Source organism: Homo sapiens, chromosome 15 (assembly GCF_000001405.40).
Source record: "Homo sapiens chromosome 15, GRCh38.p14 Primary Assembly".
In the NCBI taxonomy this organism is placed as follows: domain Eukaryota; kingdom Metazoa; phylum Chordata; class Mammalia; order Primates; family Hominidae; genus Homo; species Homo sapiens.
In genome coordinates this window covers 57,557,061-57,567,407 of record NC_000015.10, presented here as the reverse complement: position 1 = coordinate 57,567,407, position 10,347 = coordinate 57,557,061, and positions in this window count along the sequence as shown.

Genomic DNA, 10,347 nt, shown 5'->3' with positions numbered 1-10,347 from the left:
TAGCACCTGACATCTTCATCATTACTGATACATTTATACTAGGGAAATATTAGGACTCAGTGAGTCTCTTTAGGAAAAGCCAGCATCTTATTGGCCATTACACACCTTAGCAGCGGTTACATTGCTATACTAAGGCCAACACCTTGGAAAGCAGAGCATAAGGCTCTGGAGAAAAGGGAAGTAACACGGTGCTTTGCAAATTGCAAAGACCTGTACAAAGGGAATGTTGTTATTATTGGTCCAAAGCAATGGGATTCTGGGTAAAACTGTGATAGAGGCTCTGCACCAAAGACATCAGACTCATAGGTCAGCAATGCCAATAAAACTCGGATATCAGTACGAAAACTGTGGGTCACCAAACAGAGACAATTGTCTAAACAACATGTGCAGTCACGAGACATGCAGGCCTGGTATCCCTGCCAAGAGGGTGAGAGTTGTATGGAAAACTTCCTCTGCACTCTGGAATTGTGCCCTGTGGCTGTGACTGCCTGGCTTTTACAGACTTCATGGTAACTGCAATTAAAAATGCAACAAACCCTCATACATGACAGGTGGGATTGTAAAGTTATATAGTCACTTTGAAAGACAATTTGACAGTTCCTCAAAAGGTTAAACATCAAGGTACGTTATCACCCAGCAATTCCATGCCTGCAATGTACCTAAGAGTATTGAAAACATATGTTCAAACAAAAACTTGTACACAAATGATCACAGCGGCATTCTTCATAATAGCTAAGATGTGGAAACAACACAAATATCCATCAATTGATGGATGAAGAAACAAAATTTATATTTTGTTTGTGTTCTATTTATACAATGGAATACTATTCAGCCTTAAAAAATAATGAAGAGCTGATCCATGCTACAATATAGATGAACCTTGAAAACATTATGCTAAGTGAAAGAAGTCAGACATAAAATGCCACATATGATTCCATTTATATGAAATGTCCATAATAGGCAAATTCATAGAGATAGAAAGTAGATTAGTGGTGGCCAGGAGCTGGGGGATTTGGGTGGGGAGAATGAGAAGCTACAGTGGGTATGGGATTTCTCTTTGGGGTAATGAAAATGTTCTGAAATTAAACAGTGGTGATTGTTACACAACTCTGTGAACGTATTCAAAGCCCATGTATTCTACACTTTAAAAGAGTGAATAATATGGTATGTAAATTATGTTAATAAAGGTTTTTTATTGTTGTTGAGATGGAGTCTTGCTGTCACCAGCCTGGAGTGCAGTGGCATGATCTCAGCTCACTGCAACCTCTGCCTCCCGGGTTCAAACAATTCTCCTGCCTCAGCCTCCTGAGTAGCTGGGATTACAGGTGCGTGCCACCATGCCTGGCTAATTTTTGTATTTTTAGAAGAAACAGGGTTTTGCCATGTTGGTCAGGCTGGTCTCAAACTCTGCCCTCAAGTGATCCACATGCCTAGACCTCCTAAAGTGCTCGGATTACAGGCGTGAGCCACTGTGCCTTGCTGGAAGCTACTACTAAAAGAAAATACCTGAAAACTCAAAGACTTTTTATTCTTTCCTACCCACTGGCCAGAGATCTCTTAGCCTTCCCTCAGTATACTAAAAGTACATGAGTAAATAGTCTGCCAGAAAGGGTGGAATAACCTGGGGACTATTACACCGTACAGTAGCCAATTCCATTTTTCTTTAATAACTGGCAATGAACACTCCCAGGCGTTTTCATTGTTCGTGAAAACTCTGCTTAGAACACAGAACAGAATCAGAGGTACAGGACCAGCCACCGAAGTTACACCTCTGGTTTGGTTGTCTGATTCAGGAAGGAAGAAGGTCAACTCCACAAGCCCCACCCTGGCAGGTGTGCGGAGCACGAGGGGGCCTTCCTGAGAGAGCAAGGAAGTGGGGCGGGAGATATCCCTGCTGACGAAAGAGACAAAACCACATCCAGCCAGGGGCTGCTGTTGCAGTATGGAGTTCCCCTCCGCGATGTGAGCAAACAGAAGAGAGAAAACGCCATCTCATGCCAGGATCCTTTCAAATAGGTCTCTTTCCCAGCCAAGCCTACTTTCTGCAACAGTTTTTCCCTTACATACGAAGCTTCTAGCAAAACACCCAGCATAGAGTGGGAGCTCAGTGAATATTTGTTTCATGAATTAATAGCAACATTTCTTATGATGGCAAACAAAAAATAAATAACTAAAATGTTCTACAATGACCTACTGGGTCATGCACATTTATGGTATGCCCATAACTAGGCAAGTCATTTAATATTTCTATGCATAATTTTTTTTGCTAAAATAGAGTAATAGTACCTATCTCACAGGGTTATTGTGATGATTAAATGAGCTTAGGTATATAAAACAAATAGAATATTGCATAGCATATAAAAATTACAAAACAAATGTTAACTATTAGTATTATTATTCCATGGAATACAGTGCAATTATTAAAACTGTGTTGAAAAAATATATTCTTTTGAAAAAAATTTTTGAGAAAATATCTTTTTATAGCTGAAAAAATTCACAATAATTTAAAAAAATAAGCTATGTAATAGCATAAACAGTAAGATTCCACATTTTGTGAAATAAACATCCATGTAAAGAAAAAAGTGTACACAAATATACATAAAAATATTTATAGTAGTTATTTCTAAATAGTGAAAGCAAGGGGGACTTTCTTTATTATTAATTGCTTATCTATTTTTCAACAGTCAGTATAAATTATTTGAGTAAGTATAAAAATTAAAAATCCAATTGAATCAGAAAAGCATTCATATTATTTGACACACTAATTCCAATTTGAGGATACTATTCTTTAAAAAAAGTCCCAAGTACCAAAGAAAATATTGCCTATAAGAATTAGGTAAAGTGCCAGGCGCGGTGGCTCACGCCTGTAATCCCAGCACTTTGGGAGGCCGAGGCAGGCGGATCAGGAGGTCAAGAGATCGAGACCATCCTGGCTAACACGGTGAAACCCCGTCTCTACGAAAAATACAAAAAAATTAGCTGGGCGTGGTGGCGGGCACCTGTATTCCCAGATACTCGGGAGGCTGAGGCAGGAGAATGGCATGAACCCCGGAGGCGGAGCTTGCAGTGATCCGAGATCGCGCCATTGCACTCCAGCCTGGGTGACAGAGCGAGACTCTGTCTCAAAACAAACAAACAAACAAACAAGAATTAGGTAAAGTGTGATGATTTTTCTATAAATTATAGAATAATATATAATGAGTTTAAAAGATTGATGTTCAAAATAGGCGTCAAAAAGCATTAGAGTAACGCTTGAAAATATTAGAAAATGCTATCTATATTAAGTTAACTGGGATACAAATGACTAGTATCTGATCTCAAGCATATAACAAAAGTAATCATTGGCAGAAACAATAGCTGACTCTCTGCCCTTTGTTGAAGTTAACTATATTTGTCACCTTTTGACCAGAACAAGGTGGATTCTTTCTCAACAATTTACAAATTAGCCAGAAACCCCTAAACTTAATAGAACTTCAGTTCTTCCAGGTGGAGGGTTGTCCTGTGACATAAAACTAAAATCATTAAATCTATCCAGTCTAGGAAGAGAAAAGCCCAAGAGGAAATATGCTGTCCATGTATGAAATCATAAACGTTCAGGTAAATATAGCCCTGTTCATTTATCAAAATGTGAGACAAACAAAAGTTATTTTAATTCTATCAGTATTTGTCAGGCACCTGCTACAAACAAAGATGAATAATGAGACAGACTTTGTCCCGGAGAAGCTCACCACCTAATGATGTAGGAAAAAATAACTATAATCAGCTAACCACAGTCCGGAAGCGCTGCAAGAGAACAAAAGACCACAGGAGCCCAGGGAAGGGGGAAGTTTGGATTTGAAGCATCACCTGGGACGTAACCTTGATGCTAAACCTTTACACTAAAGCATGAACATGGTTTTGGTAACCGGCAGACTGAATGGTCAAATTCTAAGCAGGGATGCCGTCCTTCACTGAACCACTGATGGGCACTGGGGGTAGCTGATCACTCTTAGGGCTGTGTCCCTGTGCACTTGCAGAATGTGTCAGCATCTCAAGTTGACAACTTCTTGAGAAGTTGAGGGAATGATGTGGAAGAAGGAAAAGAGCTCAACAGCCCAAATCCAAGAAGCAGATCTTTAAGCGCAATGCAGTGTTTTAAAGCCTGCTATAGGAGTACATGAGAGGGGGACCACACTTAAGCACAGCCCATTTAAAATGCTTTAATTGCCTATCTGTGCAATAAGACTGAACCAAATGAATATTGACAAATCCGCTAACATAATCTAGTCTTGCCTTGCATTTATAAAGGTTAGGACCCAGAATTATAATGTTCTGTTTAATTTCAAATGCCTGCTGTCTGACAGGGGCTTTCTCCCGAGAGAGAAAGGCGTGGTTCTTTCCCTCAAGGGGCTCCCACCCTGGTGTGAAGAGACACACACATCACAATGTCAAAGCCTCGAGGGAGGCACGGGCCTGCCTGGGGATAGCCAGAAGGTCCTGCTCCCACCAGCACCTTCACTTTTAGAGCAAGGAGGGAGTGACCAGCATGGACTAGACAGAGGGGGAGAGGTCAGGAGTTAACTCACAACCAATGTTAAAAATGGACTTAAAGAAGAAAAGGATGTTAGCCTGGAGAAGAAAGAACTTAGAAGGGGCCTAAGAGCCTTTTTGACTATAGAGCCACAATGAGGAAAATGGGGAGAGTGGGTCAGTGCCACACATCCCCAGCAGCAGGCAGAGCAGAGATGATCACATCTAATATCACAATCACTTCTGAAATTCTACAAAAATCCACAAAAGAGAGTACAGGAAGAAACCACACACAGGGCCAACAAAGGATGGGATGAATTCAGGAAGATAGGAGAGTGGGGGATGAACTTCCACCGCTGGGTAATAAGGGAAGCAGGGACGTGAGGACAGACGTTCATGCCTTCCCACAGGAGGCCTTGGAGCTGCCGACAAGGCATCTCCCAGATGACGGAGCAGGCGTGGCAGGACGCCATCTCGCTCAGGGCAGCACCTGGTTAATGTCAGCACCGGGTCTGGTGAGGGCTGGTCTCTGCTGCGACATGGCAGGAAGTGTGCTGTGAGATCTGGTTAGAGGATGTCAAGAGGACCCCCTTGCCACAGCCTAACCAGTGTGTTCTGGACCCCACGTTTCCCTTTCCAAACTCTAATCCATCCTATCATTGCTCAGGGCTTTTTGATTCTGCTCCTTCCTCCCCTCCCCACACACATAGAACCTTTTATTCCAAAATCTAGCAGTACATCATTGGTTAGTAGAAAATAACTCTCAGAGCCGGGCGCGGTGGCTCACGCCTGTAATCCCAGCACTTTGGGAGGCCTAGGTGGGTGGATCACTTGAGATCAGGAGTTCGAGACCAGCCTGACCAACATGGAGAAACCCCGTCTCTACCAAAAAATATAAAATTAGCCAGGCATGGTGTCGCATGCCTCTAATCCCAGCTACTCAGGAGGCTGAGGCAGGAGTATCACTTGAACCTGGCAGGTGGAAGTTGTGGTGAGCCGACATCGCACCATTGCACTCCAGCCTGGGCAACAAGAGTGAAACTCCTTCTAAAAAAAAAAAAAAGGAAGAAAAAGAAAATAACTCTCATAACTTAAAAACAAAAATCAACAAACAAACCCCCCCCTCAAAAAAAAATCCTATAACATAAACTTCCCAACCATCTAAAAACCCAAACTCAAAACGTGTTTCTTTTGTCTTCCCTTCTTGAAGGAAGTAGGTCTGCACGGGCCTCCCCATCTCCTAGAGCTCGTACACAGCTATGAACCTGCTCTCAACAATGACTGGACACTTCCTCTTGGTTCATGGAAAAATTTGCTCGTAATTTTCCAGTCTGACTCAAGCTATCAGCTGGCGATACAGTTTTTTGCCAGCTTTACAGTCATTACATTACTCAAACAGAAACCCTTTTGCAGGTGACCTTGAAAGTTATTAAAAACTATTCTCTTTTTGAAGGAAGGACTTGTTGGGGGCGCCTGGTAGAGAGAGGATGTCTCGACTGGGTCTGGTGGTGACGACATCCTGGAAAAGGAACAAGATCCAAGTCACCAATCATTCTCTTATACAACGCATCCTTGAATTTTGAAGAGCCTGATATTGTGGATGGTTTGTATTGTCATTTGGCAGCAAAAATAACCTACATTGAATACACAGAAATAGTCCTCCACAGCCTCTGCCCGGGCTTTCCAGGTTTGACCACTGTGCAGTGCCTGTGATGCTCTCTGCTGCCACCCAGTGGATATACTGAGAAAGGTCAGGTAGGATGTTTAAACCCAGAGGTTCTCAGTGTGGTCCCCAGACCAGCAGCATTGGCATCAAATTCTTGGCTGCCCTAGAAACTCTGGGAGTGGGGCCAGCAGTCTATGTTTTCACAAGCCCTCAAGGTTATTCTGATGCACACTGAAGTTTGAGAAACACTAGTGTAGACTAGGTAGTAATTTGCACCCAGGGATGTGTGAAATGGATCATCAGATTTCTCCATTGGGAGAAGTCGATTGTCCTTATTGATGATCAAGGATCACATCTTTTATAGGAACTAATTTCACTGGCTATTTTAAAAAAATTACTCGTCTTCTCAGAAATGACAAGAAGGCATAAACCCCAACTCCTCTGTTTTTTATCCAGAATCTCCTGATTATAAGCAGCTACTGCTGCCTTGTTACTAAGAGTGGTATTCAAGGTTCTCCAAAAATATGGATCCAAACGTGTTTTCCAGTCTCACCTCCAGTAATTCTCCACTTCATTTACTCAAGATTTTAATGCAACTGGCTGATCCTCTGAGCCCAGCTTTCATCCCCGTGTTCCCTCTGTTTTTTCCACCAAAGATGCACCCTTCTAGGAGATTAAAATTTCATAATAAACAGTTCTAAATTTTCAAGCCCATTTTAAAGCCCTTTCGAATGCCATTTCCTCTATGAATTCTGCCCTGATTGCTCCATCCAATGACAGCCGTTCCCATCATGAACCTCCGCCACACTTCATCTATACCTCTTTTATAGTGCTTTAAATTCCATCCCTTGTTTTTTTAGTGCTCGGTGGACATTTCTGATCCCGTTGGGTCCAGAACTGAGCCTTACTCATCTCAGCATAAGCCAGTGCAGACTAGGTGCATAGTGACTGCCCTTTGAAAGGTATGCATGAATAACATAGGTCTCTCACAAAATAGCAGTTCACAATAAATGTTGGAATTCAATTTGTTGCAATGCGAATATTGCAACAGTTCACCTAAGAGTAACATAGGAACACCAGATCACCTGGGCAACACTGGGAAGGCAAAGCTTCGTTTTGTCCAAAGTCCTCTTTGGGACTTCACCACTGATGGGTGGGGCCCTGGATTACAGGAGCCACTAATCTACTCCTGTGCCACATTTGGGCCAGAAGCGTCCAACAGCTCCCCCTGCTGTCCACCTCGGCTATTACATCAGGACTGTGAAGGCTTCCATCATCACCCATCAGTCTCTTCTTTAAAGAGCCCACCTGAGATCCCAGAAAACCGCATTTCTGCAGCCACTACTAACACCTGGTTGAAAATGCTGTTCCCCCCATCCCCCCAACAGACCCAGAGCCTTTGGTCCAAATCTCCTGTTGCCATCTCAGGAAGATGAGATCTGGCAATATTTCCCTCCCAGGCCACATCCCCCACTGGCTCCCATCCTCACTACCTTCCCCAATAAGTGTTCATATGTTTAGAGTTTTGACCACTGTGGACCTGTTAGGGAAGAGAGATGCACTGAGCCTGACAATGCAGCTGGGGGTAGGGTGCCCTTTAAAGAGAACCAGAAAAGCAGTGGGAAGCCAGAGGGCGAGGGATCCAGGAGTCCCCGAGAAAAATGTACAAGAAGCAGAAGAAACAAAATAAACTAGAAACAGTGACTGCCTCTGAGTAGAGCCTGGAGAAATGAGCGCCAAGGATGGAAGACTCACTTTTCATTGTTTTACCCTCCTGTACTATCTGCATTTATTTTATGTGCTACTCAAAAACCACACTAGACAATAAATAAAAAATTAAAAAGACTCACAAAACGACAATTTCTAAAAGAAACTTCACTAACAATATAAAAAGACTGCCCTGATGAAAGAAAGATTAGTCTATTATTCGGGAAGAAATGTTAATAATCAAAGCTGAGGGGAGAGAGAAAGGGAGAAACTGCCACATTTGTAATTTCTTGGGTCTGTACAAACTAGTAAACCCTTCTGAAAAGCAACTTGGGAACTGTATTAGTCCGTTCTCACACTGCTACAAAGAACTACCTGAGACTGTGTAATTTATGAAGAAGGAGGTTTAACTGACTCACAGTTCTGCAGGCTGTACAGGAAGCATGACTGGGAAGCCTCAGAAAACTTGCAGTCATGGTGGAAGGCAAAGGTGAAGCAAGCACATCTTCACATGGCAACAGGAGAGAGAAAGAGGGGAGAAGTGCCACACACTTTTAAACCATCAGATCTCGTGAGAATGATCTATCACGAGAACAGCATGGAGGGAATCTGCCCTCATAATCCAGTCGCCTCCCACCAGGTGCCTCCCCCAACATTGAGAATTACAATTCAACATAAAGTTTGGATCACAGAGCCAAACCACATTAGGAACTTTTATAGAGACTTAAAGATGTTGTCTTTCCTCTTCTCTTTCTGGTCATCTAGCCAAAGCAAATTATTTGAAAGATGAAAAAGCTACAGATATAACAGTATTTGATGTAGGAAGGCAGAATTCCAAATCCTACACATTTGTTAATATACAAATAGTATTATAGTTAACTGATGACAGAATTCACTCAATGTGATGTGATTTTTAAGTGTATTTTTAAAAAGCATTTTTAAAAAGTGATCAAGATTATCTAATATCTATAATGTTAAGTGACAAAAAAAGCATATACAAATCATATAAACACTGCAGTTGTACCTATGCTTTAAAAACTGTGTAGGAAAAAAAGACTGGAAAGAAATGAGCCAAAATGCTAATAATGGTTGCATCAGTATGGTGGGGTTATTTTCCAAATTTGTAGTAATACAGTTACCTTATTCTATATAGAAAAATAAATATGTAAAGGAAGTAATGAATCTTTTCAATCTCACCCCCTGCCAAGCAGGAACACACGGGAGGCCTCTTGGCAAGTTGAGGTGTCATACCATTTCAGGACCATCCATCTAGGAAACGCGTACCTAAGAACACCCACCACCATGCATGCCTCTAGTTCCAAAGTGTTCGAAGAGCTACTCCCAGGATGTAAGGATTCCAGCTCCTGGGTTGAACTTAAAAGTTTGCTAAATGTAGTTCATACTCCAATCATAAAGGGTCCAAATGGGATATAGCAAAATGAACAAGGCAACTACCCCAGTTAGCCCAGGGATGTGCGAGCACCCCTCTCACCCATCCAACCATCCAAAGAGGACTGCGAGCACCATGACCCATAGCGACAGCAGCCAGGGAAGAACAATGGTCAATTCCACAACAGAGTTGGGCGTTTCAAGGGATGAATGAGTGTATTAATCAAGGATCCTCAAAGGATAGAACCAGTGGGTGTGTGTGTGTGGAGAGAGAGAGATTTATTATAGGAATCGGCTCATGCAGTTAGAGGCAGAGAAGTCTCATGATTTTCCACCTGCAAGCTGTAATTGAGTCCAAGCCCAAAGGCCTAAGAATGGGGGTGTGGGGGGGCGGGTAGCAGTGATTGCCTAAGTCCCATTCAGAGTCTGAAGGCTGGAGAGCAAGGAGCGCTGATGTCAGAGTGGGAGAAGACGGATGTCTCAGCTTAAGTAGAGAATGAATCCTCTATTCCCCCACCTTTTTGTTCAGTGAGGGCCCTCAGCAGATTGGACAGAGCCTGCTCACAGTGGGGAGGGCCATCTGCTTTACTCGTTCTGCCGATTCAGAGGCTAATCCCTTCTGGAAACACCCTCACAGACATACCCAGAATTCATGTTTTACCAGCTATCTGGGCATCCCTTAGCCCAGTCAAGTTGACATCTAAAATTCACCATCACACAGAAGATGCCACCACCATTCCACAGGGGACAGAGCTGGTGAGACCTTGGTCTTTGTGAGCCTGAAACTAGACATGTGGCCACCCAAGGAAAGCTGAAAATGCCACCCCCAAAACAGGCCAAGAATTCAGTGTTCTTTCCAATCAATATTCTTTAGTATTTATTCTCCATACTGGAAGGACAAGGGGAAACAGTGTTCTGGGGTGAAAATGGAGAACGAAGTCCTCCGGGGCAGTTTTTGGTGTTCCTCTTTTACTGTTTAGGCCTGGTCAGCTCTGGTCCCAAACTTGGACATCCCAGCTCAACCAAACCTCACCCTGACACTACCTGCCTGGGTCCTCTCCTTACAGTGCAGTTCA